This window comes from Homo sapiens, chromosome 12, assembly GCF_000001405.40.
Source record: "Homo sapiens chromosome 12, GRCh38.p14 Primary Assembly".
NCBI classification, from domain to species: domain Eukaryota; kingdom Metazoa; phylum Chordata; class Mammalia; order Primates; family Hominidae; genus Homo; species Homo sapiens.
Genome location: NC_000012.12, coordinates 131,574,102 through 131,594,370, shown reverse-complemented (window position 1 = coordinate 131,594,370; position 20,269 = coordinate 131,574,102). Strand labels below are relative to the sequence as shown.

Sequence of the window (20,269 nt, the reverse complement as noted above, 5' to 3'; positions counted from 1 at the left end):
ATTAGAGAAACCCTATATTTTAACCCCCCACCCCTCACATGTCAAGAAGTTGACTTGTGAGTGATGCTTCCGTTTGTCAATTTCATGGCCATTGAATAACACCTGCACTACTTGACACTTTTGGTTTCATGTATTGGGTTAGTGACACCCAACACTAACAGGGAAAGACCCCATCTTTTGGGGGTCCAGCTTTGTCAGTAACTGTCCATGTGTCTTCCATGAGCCAGTCACCTTGACTGGGGAAGAAGAGATGGGATGAAATGTAGACGCTGGTTGGTGTGAGCCGGGTTCAAAATCCACCTCTGACACGGTCCTGCAGTAAGGCTCATCCCAAAGATGTGGAGGAAAGGGGACTCCTCAGAGAGGGACCAGAGATACTGGTCTCAGAAGAGGGAACAGCCACTGGCAGGGAAAAGCAGCATGTGTGCCTTGTAGCCTTTGACATTCTCATCTTCCAGCTTCCACTGAGAAAAACAGATTTCATTTCCTTTCACAGAAGTGACATAAGAACAAAATATAGTGTCCTTAAAAGAAAAATGGATATCAATCTACTGTATTTTATTGCCTAGGATTTGAAGAATTGTCACTTTGTGACCAAGATGTCACTTGTATTTGTTATGGAAAGCCTCAAATCCTTTCCTGATAGTTTACTGTTTTAATAACATTGGGAAGAGGTGCCATTGTTTCTGGTTTGTGTAACTGTCACAGCAAACCCTTGACATTAGGACCTCTCAGCTCAAGGACACAGAGCCTCCGTCTCCTCTTCGCAATGCAGCATTTCAGGAAGGTTCTGCTACTCAATCATGCATGCAGTTCAGTCCCTGCCTTGGTGAAGGTGACATTCGATTGTTGGGGGACTCAGGAGAGAGTTCTATTAACATTTACATCCCCTGGGGAGCATATTCCCTGCACCTTCCCTAGACCAGTCTAGATGCATTCCAATCCCAAATGTCATCTGCCTATTGTGATGATCAAATGGGTCCTTAAGTGTAAAAGGCATAGATCAGTGTCTGCCACATAAGTGAGCACTTTTTAAGGGTTTTCTCTTCTGTTTTCCTTGCTGAAGACGGATCCAAAGAAACACATGATGACGTGTGTTCAATAGGCCCCAGAGTGGTGGGAGGCACCCAGAAACCTCCCTGTGTGAGGCCAGGGAAGCTAGTTAGACTGCTCAGGTTTCATTCACTCATTTAGACATAGAACATGCTAGGTTCTGGGGGTTCAGGATGACTAAGCACCACTTCCTGCTTTGAAGAGGCTCAAGAGGCTCAGGGTTGAGGGCAAAGGCAGGCCACTGAGAAGCACCGCGAAGGGCCGTGCATGGAGCTGCGGGAGTCCAGTGGTTCTGCAGTCAGAAAGCCTTGGGTTTAACTCCCAGCTCCATCACTCCCAGGGCTGTATCCTTGGCCAAGTTATTTATCTCTGCAAACCGGTTTTAACACCTTGACAAGGGGATCGTTAGCTCATAAGTCATAAGGTCTTAGATGCTTTTGGCTGCAAGTAACAGGACAATATGCTTAAAATAGGCTTAGGTCATTTGCTCACTCTGCCTGACAAGAAGCTCAGAGGCAGGTGACTCCAGGGAGGCCTGAATCCAGTCCTCGGTGGGGCAGGGTCTCGCTTGCCTACCAGGCTCTGCCTCCCGCCTGGGGCCCATTTGCAGGTCTGTCTGGACTTATGGTTTTAGCACTGGAAGTACCACCTCGGGGGATTTGTCTTAGTCCCAGGTAAAGCCACACTGTTTCCACCCGGCTGCAGGCCCCCAGCACCTGCCCCAACCTACAACGGCCAGCAGAAGAAAAAGGGGTTGGCTGGGCCTCCCTCCTTATCAGGGGATATCATTCTCATGGTTCCCCTTGCAGATAGCTCCTTGCATCTCATTGGTCTTAGCTGAGTCTTATGACCATCCCTGGGCCAATCACTAACCAAGGGGAGTGGGATTGGCTGGATGGCTCAGCCAATCATAAAGAAGCTCCTCTCCTGTCTGTCCACTTGGGAGCTCCCACCGGAAGGGTGGGGCAGTGTTGGCTGGGAAAGAATCTTCCGGAAGTCTGTGTCCTAGAAGTTATCCCCGCACAAGCCACAGGCGCCTGAGCTGTGCGTGGCGGGAGAGGCAGGGCTGGCAGAGCCCGGGAGGGAGGCAGGCACAGAGCCACTGGGAGTGGGGCGGGGACGGAGCCGGGCTGGCAGGACTTGGGGCCAAGGCGGGACAGGCGAGTGTGACAGCCACAGCCAAGGCCAGGGCGGTGTCCCTGCACCCTGTGTGGGTTTGGGGGTGTCTGGCCGGGGCGGGGTGTGTGCGAAGTGGGTGGAGACAGAAATCATGCTGGGGATGTCCACGCGGGAGCGTAGGAGTCAGTGCAGAAAACGCGTCTCCCTGGTGTCGGCAGCTCCGGCCCCCGGGCTGCTGCGGGAGCAAGTAGACCGGCTCCTTAGCGGCTCAGCGCAGCGGACGCCGAGTCCCAGCGGGGGCGTCCTCCTGCAGTGACTCAGGGGCCCTGGCTCTGTCTGTCCTCGGATGCTCCCTTCCCAACACTTGGCTTCCAAGGTTGGACTGGAGCTGGGACCTGATTGAACCCCTCGGTCCTCAGTGCCCAAGCGTAGAAGCCGTGGAGCCGCATGGCCCTGGTGACTGGGCTGCGTGACCCCTCTGTGGCCCCCTCCTGACCTGAGAAAGTGGTGCAAACATCCACCGCGTCATCTGGTCGTTAGGAGCACAGAGCCTGACCCACGATAGACACCACGGGCATAATAAATGCCGCTTTCTGTTTGCTTCAGCAGGATGTGGACAAAACCTTTAAATTTGTTTTTATGCATTCAATGCGTCCAGCTGTTACGACTCTGAAGCAAGTGTGATTTTCAGTCTTTTGTAGTTGTTATTCAGGGCAGTCCTGTTGTGCTGGGCTTGACTGAAGCGGCCAACACGGTCATGTGTGTGTCTCCAGGCAGCAACCTGCAGTGAGCCCAAGATCATGGTCCAGGGCTCCTCCTCCCGGCAGGGAGGAACTGTCCTCAGCATCCTCTGAGCCCCAGGTGTGCAGGGGGCAGGGTCAGGTAGAGAGAGGGGAGGAAGTTAGCTGAGGAACAATGGCTATTGGTCAGATTTCCCTACCCCAACCCTGACACAAGCGCCTCGCACATCATTGGCTGAGATCAGTCTCTCCATTTTCCTAATCGATTCTTCATGCAAAGCCACATTTTGGAGAAAAGGAATGGTTAGAATCATGGCAGGTATGTTTGGTCGTGCTGTGCACTCAGGATCCGGTACGCATTTCCTGGGGACTTGGGAGCCAAGTTCATGTTGTGTGACTATCAGGGTAGGAATTAAGAAGCAGCAGCTCCTTCGGGTATCTCTGGAATCAGTGGGGCAGAATCGGGTTCCTAGTGTCAGCTGGGGTCAGCTTGGTCTAAACCTGCTTTTCCAAGGTGTTGTGAGACAATCTGGTACTTCATGGCCCTTCTGTTCTAAGTGTTCATATAGCAAGTGTCAGCACCCACATCTCCTGCAGGAGCCCATCGGGGAACATAGCTGGCTTGCTCCACCTGAATTGGTTTTGGTGGCAGCTCATCTTCCCAGGAGAGGCCAGTCTTCCCTTTCTCATCCCCTCCTCCAGGGTCCTCCCTGTGACCCACCCACTGTGACACCTCAGTGCTCACTTGCCAGCCCTCAGGAACCAGTTGATGCCTGCAGTTGTGACCGCTGGTTGTCCTGTCTCTTCCTGCAGGAGTGGCTCTGGGCTAGCGTTTCTCAAAGTGTATCCTCAGGATACTGTCATCAGAAGCACCTGGGAAAATAGTGCAGAGTCCAGCCCCCCTCCAGACCTACAGAAGGGGAATGTGAGGGCCTGGCAATGTGCATTTTAAGCATGTGACTCTGCCCTGGGGGTGGGGGGGGGGAAGGACACCTTCCTGAATCCAGACAACTCATTAGCTTGGGTAACTCCAAAGGATGATTTTACAATATTTAATCATTAGGAATGTTTGCTAAACAGCCTGGCTGTGGGCTGGCTGAGGGACTTTGTCTGTTCAGGGGCTCTGGACTCTACTACTGCCCTGGCTAAGTCCAGTCCCCCAGTGAACCAGTGGCCAAGGGGCTCCAGTGCTCTCTCTGTGGGGTGTCCCTGTGTGCTTCCTGGAAGCCTGCTCCTTTGCTTAGATTCTGTTCCCCATTGCTTTGACCCTTTCTGTTCCTTGACAGCTGCCTGTGCCTTCCTGCTGGGCCTCAACTAGAGTGTCTGTTATTTGTGGTCAAGGATTATATTTCAGCTCTCTTGGTATCCCCTACAGGTGCCAGAATAGAGGCTTAAGTGGAGTTGGTATTCAATAACAGCACTGAAAGTTTCACCCAAAAGAGATCACTCTTTCAATAATTTGAACTTTAATATTAAATTCCAAACCCAGTTTGTAGCTGATTGCCCTCCTTTGCCATTTTGTAATAATTTCCCTTTTATTTCCAAGGATTGCTGAGGCAGTGAATTGAAGAGGCTGCGTAGTGCTTGCAACCAGTTACCATATTTCCCTGGAGGAATCACCAGCAACCGACTCTCCCAGGACTTACGAGGTGCTTCCCTTATCACCAGCCGTCTCAGCACAAGTAGGTGAGTTTCTCTTTGAGCTGGTTTTCCATGTGATCTTATAAAGAATCTTTGATGGTGGTGCTGCTGGCCTGAACTGGCATTCTTCTCCCCCAGGAGGTCTTTCGTCTTCTTGATCTGTGGCAAAGAAGCCCCACTATTGGTGATAAGGGCTGGTCTCAGGGTATTAGCATTCAGTAAAAAGCATCTGAAGCCAGATTGAAGCTTTCATATGGTTTGTGCAGCAACTGGGAATGTTTCTCTGAATAGAGAGCTTGTGTTTAGAGGAGAGAGGCTTTTTTGGGAAGTGGGGGTAAACAGTTTAATTCTCAGTTATATTGTGTAATCACTGATGGTGAGTGAAGCAATGCCTTTTCCCGAGAAACGCGTGTGAGAGCTTAGGTTTGCTCTGCCGCATCATAACTCTAATTCATTTCTACATTGAATTTTTATTTTTCAGTGGATGAGAATGACCAAGTTACTGGTCATGTGGATGAGCACAACCTACTCACTTTAGAAGAGTTTCCTTCTGGGCCGGATGGGCAGGGTGGCTGACGCCTGTAATCCCAGCACTTTGGGAGGTTGAGGCAGGAGGATTGCTTGAGTCCAGGAGTTCAAAACCAGCCTGGGCAGCATAGTGAGACCCCATCTATACTAAAGATAAAATTAGCCAACTGTGGTGGTGCTCACCTGTAATCCAAGCTATTTGGGAGGCTGAGGCAGGAGGGTCACTCGAGCCCAGGAGTTCGAGGCTGCAGTGAGCTGTGGTGACACCACCACACTCTAGCCTGGGTGACAGAGCGAGACCCTGTCTCTAAAAAAATAAATAAATAAAAATTAAAAGTTTCTTCCTGCCTGATTTAGTGAGTCATTTACTCACAGAAATTGTGTGATGATTGTTGCAGTTATTGAAAACACAACTCGTGGAGCCAAACACGTTCACGAAATGCTTGTTGACTCTCAGGCTGTGACCTTCCCGAGATATTTGTTAAAGAGAATCCCAACATATGCCATAGATAGAAGTGATATCACAGAAGTATGCTTGCAAGGGTCATTCCATTCCATTCCATTCCATTCCACTCCACTCCACTCCACCCCACCCTACCCCACCCCCACTCTATTCCATTCCATTCCATTCCACTCCACTCCACCCCACCCCACCCCACTCTATTCCATTCCATTCCATTCCATTCCATTCCATTCCATTCCATTCCATTCCATTCCATTCCACTCCACCCCACCCCACTCTATTCCATTCCATTCCATTCCATTCCACTCCACTCCACTCCACCCCACCCCACTCTATTCCATTCCATTCCATTCCATTCCATTCCATTCCATTCCATTCCATTCCATTCCATTCCACTCCACCCCACCCCACTCTATTCCATTCCATTCCATTCCACTCCACTCCACTCCACCCCACCCCACTCTATTCCATTCCATTCCATTCCACCCCACTCCACCCCACCCTACTCTATTCCATTCCATTCCATTCCAACCCACCCCACCCCACCCCACTCCACTCCACTCCACTCCACTGTATTCATTTTGCCAGTTTGGGCTAATATAAGAAAAATACCATAGGCTGGATGACTTAAACACCAAGCACTTATTTTTCACAGTTCTGGAGGCTGGAAAGTCCAAGATGAAGGCTTTGGTATCTGGGGAGGGCCCACCCTTCCTGGGTCATAGACAGTGCCGTCTCGCTGTGTCCTCCCGAGGAGGAAGGGATGAGGAGCTCTGTGATGCTTCTTTCATGAGGTTGCTGATCCCATCATGAGGGCTCAGTGCTCATGGTCTAATTGTCATGAGATCTTTGGGATGTCACTTTTCTGGCCGGAAACCTGTGGCTTGTAGTGCCTTTGCCTGAGTTGCTTTTGGACACGCTGGGCTTGTTCCACCCACTCAGCCTGGCAGACGGCACTCGGCTCACATTCCCAGCCTGGATCCCGTGCCTCCAAGGGAGACTTCGAGTCAGGCATGGAGCAGGGAGGGGTGTGTGAGCAAGGGTGGGGTCTGGCCACTGTGCAGTCAGACACATCGGCTGCTGCTGCGAGGCGGGCAGCTCTAGGTGCCGGCATGGGGGCTGGCTCTCTGTGAAGCTGCGGCTGGACCAGGCACACTACAAGCAGCTTCCCTGGCTGGCACTGGGGAATGTGGTGGTGACTGGAAGCTTGGAGACACCAAGAACCACAGGGCCCCAAAGAGGGAGTCATAGCCCTGGCTTGGGGAGCTCCTAGGTCTGGGGTCCCTGAGGGCTGCAGCTATTCCTTTCTTCTTTGCCTACAATGTGGCAAGCAGGGGGCATGTCTTAGCTCTGTGTGTGTTATGGCTCTTTTAGTCTCACCTTTCAGTGGGTCCTGAGTTCTTGTTCTGTGACCAGGAAGAATGAGGTACGCAGACAAGTGGAGGGTGAGCGAGATGAAGAGGAGCTTTAATGAGCAGTAGAACAGCTCAGAAGAGACACACAGGGGGCAGCTCCTTTCCACAGCCACGGTGTCCCGACGAGTGCTCAGCTGTCAGCAGAGAGGGTGGATCTTCTCTGTGAGGCAGGTCATCCCAGTGAGTGTTCAGCTATCAGCAGGGAGGTAGCTCCTCTCTGCAGCTGGTCGTCCTTTTGTCTGCTCTGTTCTGGCTGAGCCTGGGGCTTTTATGGGCCTCAGAGAGAAGGAAGTGCCAGTTGATCCATGGGCAGCCATGGGCTGGCCTGGAAAAGGCACCACAAGTTCCCTCTCGGGTCTGTGGGACTGGCAGCTTGGCCCCCAGCCTTCAGGCCTTACCAGGGGCCCCTTCCTCCCAGGAGTCTTCTGCCTCCTGTCACTGTCCATGGTACCCAGGCTGCTCACGTCAAGAGGCACGTGCAGGCCAGGGCCAAGCTGCCCTCAGCCCCCAACTTGGCTTCCCCACTGCTCTTGCCAGCACCCAAAGTCTGGAGGTGCCCAGGGCAGCAAGGGGTTGGTGTGTCAGTGCTACCCCAAGTGTGTGCACACCTGGCTGGGCTGTGATAGTGCCCAGCTCAGCCTTGACCTAGATCTGAGATTAGAGCAGGTACTGACAGGAGAAATCAAGCAGCTGGAGCAGGCACCCTTCATCCCACAGCGGGGCAGGGGGCCTACCTGGGCCTCCTGTAAGTGCAGAAATGCCTGGGTCTGTGCTGGTGGCAGGACAGCTGCAGCTGCACCCAGGGGCTCCCGTTTCTCCCCAGCTCCACTGGCTCTGTGGAGCGTGCAGCCCCCAGTGTGCTCCCCTGAGGCCTGGGGTGGTGGCTCCAGGTTCTCTCTGGTTCAGGGCAGGAGCTCTTCCCATGGCCCCAGTGCTCAGGGGTGACCAGGGGCTCCCCCTTGCGTGACTTGTGGTCCTGCCCGGGATGGGGCATCTTCAGGAGCGGATCATGGGCCCCAGGCCCATCCTTCGGGAGCATCAGGCTCAGTGGCCCTGCCGATGTAGGTTGGACCCCTGGGAAACAGCACTGGGTGGCCCACACAGAGCCGCCTCCCAAGGTGCAGGAATCCAGCACGTTTTGCAGGGTGAGCATTGTGGCCATGCTGCTGGCTGGATCCCTGAAGTGGATGCCGCTCCCACTTCCCACTCCTGGCCCCTAAAGTGCAGCCCCAGCTCCACGCCCTGGGCCCAGCCCCAGCGTGCTCTGTGTGCAACCATGGCACCACTCCGAGCCCAGCTCTGCCTTGGGGACCCTCTCTGCTGGCCCCTTAGTGCCTGACTGTGTGGCTCGCCTGCAGGAGGGTGACTCGGCCTGGTCCCCATCACAGTGGTCCCCAGGGTAGTAGGATCCAGGGGGGCTCCTGGGGTGGACTCTGGGGACTGTAGGCCTCCTCCCCATAGCAGGGTGTGCGACAGTAGTGATTCGGGGCCAGGGTCTGGAGCAGTGGAGGCGCTGGGCCTGGGGGCAGGTCCTGCCTGGCTGTGCAAGGGTGGGAATGGTGCTCAGGGGACACAGGACACAGGGGTCCCACCACCGCTACTGTTGCTCCCGCAGGCGCTTCTACTCTGGACAGTCACTGCTGCCATCATAATAACCTCCAAAGGCCCCACCTCCTAAAACTATCACCTTGGGGGTTAGGTTTCAACATACGAAATTTGGGAGGACACAGTTCCTAACACCACTCCTGGGTCTTTTTCTGAATCAGTTGGTACGATCATATCCTCATTCTTTTTAATTTTATTATTATTATACTTTAAGTTTTAGGGTACATGTGCACAAGGTGCAGGTTTGTTACATATGTATACATGTGCCATGTTGGTGTGCTGCACCCATTAACTCGTCATTTAGCATTAGGTACATCTCGTAATGCTATCCCTCCCCCTCCCCCATCCCACAACAGTCCCTGGTGTGTGATGTGTATCCTCATTCTTTAACCTAGTAGTGGTACCTGAAAAGGGCAGACCCAAAGAGAGGGCTGATCCAGACGCGAAGAGAGGGCTGATCCAGACCCGAAGAGAGGGCTGATCAGACGTGAAGAGAGGGCTGATCCAGACGCGAAGAGAGGGCTGATCAGACGTGAAGAGAGGGCTGATCCAGACGTGAAGAGAGGGCTGATCCAGACGTGAAGAGAGGGCTGATCCAGACCCGAAGAGAGGGCTGATCCAGACCCGAAGAGAGGGCTATCCAGACGCGAAGAGAGGGCTGATCCAGACCCGAAGAGAGGGCTGATCCAGACGTGAAGAGAGGGCTGATGAGACGCGAAGAGAGGGCTGATCAGACGCGAAGAGAGGGCTGATCCAGACGCGAAGAGAGGGCTGATGAGACGCGAAGAGAGGGCTCCTGGATCTTGTGCAGGAAGGAATTCCAGGCCAGTGAAAGCAGTGAAAGGAGCAGGCTTATTGGAAACTCCTTCATTATAGAGGAGGGCGCCCTCAGAAAGCAAGCTGAGGAACACACCGTCTTTAAGTTTTTCTTATATGGGGTCTTGTCTTTGTAAAGACTAAGCTGGGGCTACGTGACGGTGAGCAGACCGTGCGACCAATTTTATTATTCTATTGATTTAAAGAAAACTACCCTTGACATTTTAGTGTGTGAGTACATCGAGGCATAACTTATTATCTTGAAAGCGTATGTTGTTATGGGCACCGGGACGTCTGGACTCGTCACTGTCAGAGGACTGTGTCCTTGTAGGTGTTTTTAGGTGGTTTCCTCAACTGCAAGCATCTGAGGACCATGGATTGTGACTGGCGAGGAACTGCCCTGTTAGTCTCCAGATGGAGCCGAACTGAAAACGGTGTCGCTTCTCTAACGGTGCGACGGATTACACTGGTTGATTTTCAGATGTGGAGCCACTCTTACATCCCTTAAATACTCCCCTCCTCCCGTCACGGTGTCCCGGTATTGATGAGTTCTACTTGCTAATACTTTGTCTCTACATTCCTGAAGGTTATTGCCCTTTGTTTTATTTTTGTATTGTCTTTGTCTATTACCTAGTGTTGGGTCATACTAGCTAGCCCCCTGAAGTGATTTGGAAAGTGTTTCTTTACCTTGTCTTTCCTGGAAACATTGTTTTAAATTGGTGTTAATTTCTATTTAAACCTTTGGTAGGAGACTCCAGTGGAATAATCTCCCCTGTAAATTTCTTTTTCAGCAATTTTTAATTACAAATTCAATTTCTTTAATGGGTATGGAAATAATCAAATTATCTAGTTCATATTGGGTTGAATTGTGATAATTTGTGCTTTTGAAGAAACTGGCCCATTTCATGTAGTTGTAAAATTTGTGTAGAGAGTTGTTAATAAGCATCCTTTGATTATGCTTTTGATGTCTGCAGAGTCCGTAGAGATATTCCCTGTTTTATTCCTGATAGTGGCAAATTGTTTCTTCACTGTTTTTTTCAGTCTTTCTAGAATTTGTCAGATTCACTGATCTTTTCACAGAACCAATTTTTTTCTCACAAATTAAATACATTCATATCAAGTTATGTCAAAACATTATGTTACAAACCACAAATGTATACAATTTTTATTTGTTAATTGTATCTCAATAGCGCTAGGGGGAAAGAACCAACTTTCTGTTTCATTGATTTTCTCTATTGTCTTTCTGTTTACAATTTCATTGGTGTTTTGCTTTCTACTTCTTCTTTCCTTTTGTCTTGGGCTTATTTTGATCTTTTTCTGCTTCATTTCAGTAAGAGATAAGAAGGCAGCTGAGGTACACGCTTTGCCTCGTGGGTGTGAACCAAGTAGCGGGCACAGAGAGCCGCCACTGAGGGACGTCGGATGAAGTGATGGGATTCGTCACCTGTCATCATTGCATCAGCTCTTTACGTAGCCATGTGTGGGCTATACCCAGCAGTGCACTCTGTATTCTGTGCAGTTAATTACATTTAACGTACCATGGTAAATTAAGTTTCAGCCACGTGGTTGGGGGAAAAGAGTTAATTAACTCAACCCTGCCAACTGACACTGGTGTACATCAGAATCATGCAAAACAAACAGTGCCTCTTTCTAACATTGTGCTGTAATGGTCGGAGATTCACATGCTGCTGTAAGACACAGTACAGAGACAGGCAGAGTGCAGAGAGAGACGCAGCGCAGAGACAGACGCAGTGCAGAGACAGACGCAGCGCAGAGACAGTACAGAGACAGACAGTGCAGAGACAGACACAGTGCAGAGACAGACAGTACAGAGACGGACACAGTGCAGAGACGGACACAGCACAGAGACGGACACAGCGCAGAGACAGGCACAGCACAGAGACAGGCACAGCGCAGAGAAAGGCACAGTGCAGAGACAGGCACAGTGCACAGACAGACACAGTGCAGAGACAGACAGACACAGTACAGAGACAGACACAGTGCAGAGACAGACACGGTACAGAGACAGACACGGTACAGAGACAGACACGGTGCAGACACAGAGAGTACAGAGACAGACACGGTGCAGAGACAGACACAGTACAGAGACAGACACAGTGCAGAGACAGACACAGTGCAGAGACAGGCAGAGCGCAGAGACAGACACAGTACAGAGACAGACAGTGCAGAGACAGACACAGTGCAGAGACAGGCAGAGCGCAGAGACAGGCACAGTACAGAGACAGACACAGTGCAGAGACAGGCACAGTGCAGAGACAGACACAGTACAGAGACAGACACAGTGCAGAGACAGACACAGTACAGAGACAGGCACAGTGCAGAGACAGACACAGTGCAGAGACAGGCACAGTGCAGAGACAGACACAGTGCAGAGACAGACACAGTGCAGAGACAGGCACAGTACAGAGACAGACACAGTGCAGAGACAGACACAGTGCAGAGACAGGCAGAGCGCAGAGACAGGCACAGTGCAGAGACAGACAGTGCAGAGACAGACACAGTGCAGAGACAGGCAGAGTGCAGAGACAGGCACAGTGCAGAGACAGACACAGTGCAGAGACAGGCACAGTGCAGAGACAGACACAGTACAGAGACAGACACAGTGCAGAGACAGACATAGTACAGAGACAGGCACAGTACAGAGACAGACACAGTGCAGAGACAGGCAGAGCGCAGAGACAGGCAGAGCGCAGAGACAGACAGTGCAGAGACAGACACAGTGCAGAGACAGACACAGTGCAGAGACAGGCACAGTACAGAGACAGGCACAGTACAGAGACAGACACAGTGCAGAGACAGGCACAGTACAGAGACAGACACAGTGCAGAGACAGACACAGTGCAGAGACAGGCACAGTACAGAGACAGACACAGTGCAGAGACAGACAGTGCAGAGACAGGCACAGTGCAGAGACAGACACAGTGCAGAGACAGATAGTACAGAGACAGACACAGTGCAGAGACAGACTCAGTACAGAGACAGACACAGTGCAGAGACAGACACAGTGCAGAGACAGACAGTACAGAGACAGACACAGTGCAGAGACAGACACAGTGCAGAGACAGGCAGAGCGCAGAGACAGGCAGAGCACAGAGACAGACACAGTGCAGAGACAGACACAGTGCAGAGACAGGCAGAGCGCAGAGACAGACACAGTGCAGAGACAGACACAGTGCAGAGACAGGCACAGTGCAGAGACAGACACAGTAGAGAGACAGACACAGTGCAGAGACAGACACAGTACACAGACAGACACAGTAGAGAGACAGACACAGTGCAGAGACAGACACAGTGCAGAGACAGGCACAGTGCAGAGACAGACACAGTACACAGACAGGCAGAGTGCAGAGGGAGACACAGTGCAGAGACAGACACTGCAGAGACAGACACTGCAGAGACAGACACAGTAGAGAGACAGACACAGTGCAGAGACAGACACAGTACAGAGACAGGCAGAGCGCAGAGACAGACACAGTGCAGAGACAGACACAGTGCAGAGACAGGCACAGTACAGAGACAGACACAGTGCAGAGACAGACACTGCAGAGACAGACACAGTAGAGAGACAGACACAGTGCAGAGACAGACACAGTGCAGAGACAGACACAGTGCAGAGACAGGCAGAGCGCAGAGACAGACACAGTGCAGAGACAGACACAGTGCAGAGACAGGCACAGTACAGAGACAGACACAGTGCAGAGACAGACACTGCAGAGACAGACACAGTAGAGAGACAGACACAGTGCAGAGACAGACACTGCAGAGACAGACACAGTAGAGAGACAGACACAGTGCAGAGACAGACACAGTGCAGAGACAGACACAGTGCAGAGACAGGCACAGTGCAGAGACCGACACAGTGCAGAGACAGACACAGTACAGAGAGAGACACAGTACACAGACAGGCAGAGCGCAGAGGGAGACACAGTGCAGAGACAGACACAGTACAGAGACAGGCAGAGCACAGAGACAGACACAGTGCAGAGACAGACACTGCAGAGACAGACACAGTAGAGAGACAGACACAGTGCAGAGACAGACAGTACAGAGACAGACACAGTGCAGAGACAGGCAGAGCACAGAGACAGACACAGTACAGAGATAGACAGGCACAGTTCAGAGACAGGCACAGTGCAGAGACAGACATAGTACAGAGACAGGCACAGTACAGAGACAGACACAGTACAGAGACAGACAGACATAGTACAGAGACAGACAGACACAGTGCAGAGACAGACACAGTGCAGAGACAGGCAGAGCGCAGAGACAGACACCGTGCAGAGAGACAGACACAGTGCAGAGACAGACACAGTACAGAGACAGGCAGAGCGCAGAGACAGACACAGTGCAGAGACAGACACAGTGCAGAGACAGGCACAGTACAGAGACAGACACAGTGCAGAGACAGACACTGCAGAGACAGACACAGTAGAGAGACAGACACAGTGCAGAGACAGACACAGTACAGAGACAGGCAGAGCGCAGAGACAGACACAGTGCAGAGACAGACACAGTGCAGAGACAGGCACAGTACAGAGACAGACACAGTGCAGAGACAGACACTGCAGAGACAGACACAGTAGAGAGACAGACACAGTGCAGAGACAGACACAGTACAGAGACAGGCAGAGCGCAGAGACAGACACAGTGCAGAGACAGACACAGTGCAGAGACAGGCACAGTACAGAGACAGACACAGTGCAGAGACAGACACAGTAGAGAGACAGACACAGTGCAGAGACAGACACAGTGCAGAGACAGACACAGTGCAGAGACAGGCAGAGCGCAGAGACAGACACAGTGCAGAGACAGACACAGTGCAGAGACAGACACAGTACAGAGAGAGACACAGTACACAGACAGGCAGAGCGCAGAGGGAGACACAGTGCAGAGACAGACACAGTACAGAGACAGGCAGAGCACAGAGACAGACACAGTGCAGAGACAGACACTGCAGAGACAGACACAGTAGAGAGACAGACACAGTGCAGAGACAGACAGTACAGAGACAGACACAGTGCAGAGACAGGCAGAGCACAGAGACAGACACAGTACAGAGATAGACAGGCACAGTTCAGAGACAGGCACAGTGCAGAGACAGACAGACACAGTACAGAGACAGGCACAGTGCAGAGACAGACATAGTACAGAGACAGGCACAGTACAGAGACAGACACAGTACAGAGACAGGCACAGTGCAGAGACAGACACAGTGCAGAGACAGGCAGAGCACAGAGACAGACACAGTACAGAGATAGACAGGCACAGTTCAGAGACAGGCACAGTACAGAGACAGACAGACACAGTACGGAGACAGGCACAGCCCAGAGACAGACAGACACAGTACAGAGATAGACAGGCACAGTTCAGAGAAGCACAGTACAGAGACAGACAGACACAGTACAGAGACAGACACAGTACAGAGAGACAGACACAGTGCAGAGACAGGCACAATGCAGAGACAGACACAGTGCAGAGAAAGCCCACGCACACTGCCCAGTTTCCCCTCAGATAATACTTTGCCAAAGTGCTGTGCCGTCATAGCTGCTGACAGCATTCATTCATGTTTTTGTGTAAGTGTTTGTGTGTGTGTGAGGTTTTTTTTTTTTTTTTTCTGGGACAGATGCCTAAGAGGGCAGTTGGTGGACCATATGATTGTTGTATGTTTAGTTTTATAAGAAACTGGCAACCTGTTTTCCAGGGCGGCTGCAGCATTTCAGCCTCCTGTCAACAGCATGAGTGGTCCAGCCCCTCCATATTCTCAGCAGCATTTGGGATTGTCGCTGTGTGTTATTTTCGCCTTTCTGATGGGTGCAGGGTGGGGCCTCACGGTGGTTTTAATGTGCGTGTTCCCGATGGCTGGTGATGCTGAATACCTTTCCGTGGGCTGCTTTGACATCTGCTTGTTGTCTTCCGTGAGACGTCTGCTCGTGTCTGTTTTCTCACTGGAGTGTTTGTACTTCTAACAATTGAGATTTGAGAGATTGCAGTACACATTCTGGATGCCAGTCCTCTGGTAGCATATGTGGTTTGTAAAACTTCTATTCCAGTCTGTGGCTTATCTTTTCCTCCACTCCAAGTGGGTGTTTCCAGAGCAAAAGTCTTTCATTGATGAAGTCCCTTAATAACTTCTAATAACCTGTGATTTTACCTCCAGAATTTCCCTGGAATGCACCCACTTTCCCCATCTCCACAGACGTGCCTTCCAGGGCACTGCTCACATGCTGGTCGGTAGCATCCCCTCCATTCCCCCTGGGGGTGTTGGTGGAACTCTCGAGAAGCTCTCGCCAGAGACCTCCTCACCAGCCCAGCCCTCCCGTGCTGGCTCCTCACCTTCTGTGCCGTCCCCATGGGGGCGAGGTCTCCTACGGATCTGGAAAGGGACATGGACATGTGCTGTTGGTGGGCTGTAGAATGTGGGGGCTATTGAATCTTGTGCCTCATTTGGAATTTTCAGTGTATTATTGTCATCGTTTTATTTTGAGGGATGGCAGAACAGTGCCGTGTTACTTCAGAGGAGCTTGTTCTCCCCTTGCTTTTGAGTGATGTACAAGTTCTTACGTATTAGAAAAGAGTAATTCTATTATTGTTTTCTTTCTTTTAACAGTAGTGGCAGGCACAGTGTGCATTTTGGGTTACAAGCCATTGCTTGTTGGACTTCTCTGCCAGCCTCTTTACTCAATTCTCACCGTCCCGGAGCAGAGAACTTCATTAGAGAAGTAGTGAGACTTTTTCAGTTTCAAAAATTTAGGTCAGTGCCAGATCTTCAGCATCCTTTGTTTGAAGGCAACAGAAACAGGCTCAGCTGATTGGTGTCAGTTATTGGAAGCTCATGGAATTGAAGAAAAAAAGCGTGGAAAGTCAAATAACGTGGAGTCTTCCGTTTCAACTGAAGGAGGGCCAGGGACAAAGCAGGTGATCTTAGATGCCCCAGGGACCCAGAAGCCAGGCTCAAAGGCTCAGTCCCCACCCTCCTGAACACAGGCACTCTCAATCAGCTGGCTGAGTTCCTTGTTTGAAGACACTGGAAGACGGATTCACTGCAGAGGCCCCTGACAGTGACTGATTGTCCACTGAGAGGCAGTTGTATAAGATCAATGTCATTCACAAGAGAAGCAAGGAGAAACACACAGCTTTCTAGACACTGGACCGTTTAGTTGTTACAAGCATACGTACATTTTATAAAACAGTAATTATATTGTAGATATGGTTTTTATCCTCATAGTTATTTTTGTACAATTATGAAATGCAAGGTTATTGCTGAGAGATTCATCCATGCTACAGCCATTGCAAATTACATCTTATCACTAAGCAGGTGCCCCACCTCCTTATTTTTTCTTATTAGTAAAAACATATTTGTGATTTAAATCTCTGTCATTTGACGTGGTGCAATGTGAGCCAGGCCCTTTCTGGCCCTCTTAGGTTAGCTCCTAGAGAGGTGTGGGGCAGCAGGGCTCACCCTTGTAGCCTCACACAGGGCACTGGGTCTTACTCACTGAATGGGCCATACTCACTGCACCGGGTCTTACTGCATCGGGTCACACTCACTGCACCGGGTCTTACTGCACCGGGTCACACTCACTGCACCTGGTCTGACTACACCGGGTCACACTCACTGCACCGGGTCTTACTACGCTGGGTCACACTCACTGCACCGGGTCTTACTGCACCGGGTCACACTCACTGCACCTGGTCTGACTACACCGGGTCACACTCACTGCACCGGGTCTTACTACGCCGGGTCACACTCACTGCACCGGGTCTTACTGCACCGGGTCACACTCACTGCACCGGGTCTTACTGCACCGGGTCACACTCACTGCACCTGGTCTGACTACACCGGGTCACACTCACTGCACCGGGTCTTACTACGCCGGGTCACACTCACTGCACCGGGTCTTACTGCACCGGGTCACACTCACTGCACCTGGTCTGACTACACCGGGTCACACTCACTGCACCGGGTCTTACTACACCGGGTCACACTCACTGCACCGGGTCTTACTACGCCAGGTCACACTCACTGCACCGGGTCTGACTACACCGGGTCACACTCACTGCACCTGGTCTTATACTGGGTCACACTCACTGCACCTGGTCTGACTACACCGGGTCACACTCACTGCACTGGGTCTTACTACACCGGGTCACACTCACTGCACTGGGTCTTACTACACCAGGTCATAGTCAGTGTACCGGGTCTTACTACGCTGGGTCACACTCACTGCACTGGGTCTTACTACACCAGGTCATAGTCAGTGTACCGGGTCTTACTACGCCAGGTCACACTCACTGCACCGGGTCTTACTACAAAGGTTCATACTCACTGCACTGGGTGTTACTACACCAGGTCATACTTACTGCACTGGGTCTTACTACACTGGGTCAGACTCACTGCACCGGGTGTTACTACACTGGGTCATACTGCACTGGGTCTTACTACACCAGGTCATAGTCACTGCACCCGTTCTTACTACACCGGGTCGTACTCACTGCACTGGGTCTTACCGCATCGGGTCATACTCACTGCAGTGGGTCTTACTACACCAGGTCTTACTCAACTGCAGCAGTTCTGACTCACTGCACCGGGTCTAATTCACTGCACTGGCTCTCACTCACTGCAGCAGGTCTCACTCACTGCACTCGGTCTAATTCACTGCACCGGCTCTCACTCACTGCACTGGGTCTTACTGCATCGGGTCACACTCACTGCAGCGGGTCTTACTACACCAGGTCTTATTCAACTGCAGCAGGTCTTACTGCACCGGCTCTCACTCACTGCAGCAGGTCTCACTCACTGCAGCAGGTCTCACTCACTGCACCGGGTCTAATTCACTGCACTGGCTCTCACTCACTGCAGTGGGTCTTACTCACTGCATCTTTTGGGGATTTGACCCCTTTCCTCTGTGCATTTTGCTCCGACTGTTGAGACACGGGGACGGTCACCAGGCCTGTGTGGAGGGGTTAAAATGACCCAGCAGCGTGGAGTCCTTGGTCTTCCCCTGTCCTCTTAGATCAGCGTCTTCACAGCAACAGGGGGGCCTGTGTGCGCTGAGCCCAGGGCAGGTGGCAGGTGGCACGGGGAAGCCGTGTGTTAGAATTCCTCTTTGCCTCCCAGCCCTGGTTCTTTTATAACCCACGCTGTCTTTTTATTGCTGTTGTTTACTCTCTTCCCCTGCATCTCAGAGATGGCGTTCCTGCCCTGCCATCTGTCTGACCATTCATTTATCCCCTGGTGTCTGTGGGCACTGAGCCTCTCTGCTTGGATTATGTCTGTGAACACCGCAGTCACTGTGCCCTGCCTGCGTAGGCTGAAACCCTCTGGGTGTTGGGGTCAGTGTGGACAATGCCTGCTCCAGGTTGGGGACAGCATGGGAGGTGTGAGCACGGGGCTCTGCCCAAAGCCCAGAGCCTGGAGAAGCGGGACTGAGTCTGTGGCCACTTGAGGCTGCTGCTGCCCCAGGTGTGACCCAGGGAGGTGCTCCTCTGCCCCAGGTCTGTCCTGTCCCTCTGAAAAGTGGGGTGGCCCACTTGTCCAAGTGTTCAGATCACTCATTGGCTGCTGATGCTCTGAGTCTGTGCAGGAACCACTGTCTGTCCCAGCTGGACAGTGCTCCCCCCACCCTGTGGCCTTTGGTGACCCACTACATGACTGAAGTCCCCAACTCTAAATGGGAAGAGCCTTGGTGTGCTCAGGTCCCTCAGGTCTGCGTGCGAGCAGGGCCAGCCTGCGCTGGGCCTTCTGAGCAGTGCCCGGATCCACCCACCCCACCTTGTTTGCCGTCAACTCCAGATACTGTAGGCTTCACTTCATTTTTTTTTACATTATTCAATTTGGAATATGATTTGGGCAGTTACATTTAAACAGACAGTTTCCATTGAAAATCCTCTGTGTAAACAAGTCAGGCAGTGTTGGTAACAGCTGTGGGTTTCAGATTTCCTGGAGTTCTCTTAATATTTTTCAGCTAATAGGTGACTGTTCGGAGAAGGAATGGACATTCTTTTTTTGAGGACAATGGATTGAGGCTCAGATTTACAAGAACTCAAACTTGTTTTGAGACAGGATCCTTCTAAGCTCTTATATTCCTCTCACTTTTCGGATGAAATGGTTTATGTTGAGATCTCCTCCTGGTGCTTCAGAAATCACGTCTTTTATAACCCTGCAGGGCAAATTCTGACCTGAAAACCTCCAGCTCCTGGGCTCTGCACAGGACACTCCTTTATCAGAGCAGAAAAGACAAACGACCTGGAGAGAAGGGGCTCACAGTAGCAGAGCTGAGCGGGGGTTGCTGGTAGAGAAGGGGCTCACGGTAGCAGAGCTGAGCGGGGGTTGCTGGTGCACCGCACGTTGGAAAAAGCTCTGGCCAGGAACACTGGGCTCTGTGAGCTACCCCCCCGAGACAGGGGCTTGCTTTCCGCCTCTGACAGCACCAGCCTCCTTTATGGCTGCTTATTCAGGATCCAGATGGGCTCTGATGTCTGAGGGGTGGAGCAGGGCTTCAGCTGTGAGACCCCCTGCACCGAGTCCCGCCCTGTTCAGGGCCCTGTCCTGAGGCTGGTGTGGGTGGGGACCTGCCAGCTTCCTGCCATTTCACCCTGACCTTTTGGCCATGTTGCCGTTGCTTCTCTCGTCTTCTCATCTGTTCCTGAACTTGGTCCCCAGGGCGAGCTCTTCTTCTGTAACTGGCACAGCTTCCAACTGGGGCAAGAGCTCTGTTCTCCCTGAGGGCTGTTGCTTCACATTCACGGAGGAATTACATGCAGCTTCCAGGGCTCTGCTGGAGGTCTGCAACCAGGCGCCTGCCTCCGCCAAGGCTGGCACGGGCTTCTCTTCCTTGGGATCCTGGGGAGGGTGTTGACGTCCAGTC

At 51.8% G+C, this 20,269-nt stretch overlaps 1 long non-coding RNA gene across 1 annotated transcript, besides 3 other annotated features; it reads left to right on the top strand.

The window, feature by feature from the left end:
• Positions 1,293-1,382: an enhancer, noted in NCBI's record as "active region_7365". NCBI's record gives its function as "activates an Ori minimal core promoter by ATAC-STARR-seq in GM12878 lymphoblastoid cells {active_cell/tissue: GM12878}" and the evidence as "EXISTENCE:reporter gene assay evidence [ECO:0000049][PMID:35858748]".
• Positions 1,433-1,492: an enhancer, noted in NCBI's record as "active region_7364". NCBI's record gives its function as "activates an Ori minimal core promoter by ATAC-STARR-seq in GM12878 lymphoblastoid cells {active_cell/tissue: GM12878}" and the evidence as "EXISTENCE:reporter gene assay evidence [ECO:0000049][PMID:35858748]".
• LOC105370084 (uncharacterized) lies at positions 2,641-10,789 on the top strand. The gene is made up of 3 exons (XR_945565.2): positions 2,641-3,231; positions 4,459-4,598; positions 10,712-10,789. It is a non-coding gene; the product is annotated as an uncharacterized LOC105370084 (long non-coding RNA).
• Positions 18,455-19,030: an enhancer, noted in NCBI's record as "H3K27ac-H3K4me1 hESC enhancer chr12:132059886-132060461 (GRCh37/hg19 assembly coordinates)". NCBI's record gives its function as "activates a minimal SCP1, AML or CMV promoter by ChIP-STARR-seq in naive H9 embryonic stem cells {active_cell/tissue: H9 hESC(naive)}" and the evidence as "EXISTENCE:reporter gene assay evidence [ECO:0000049][PMID:30033119]".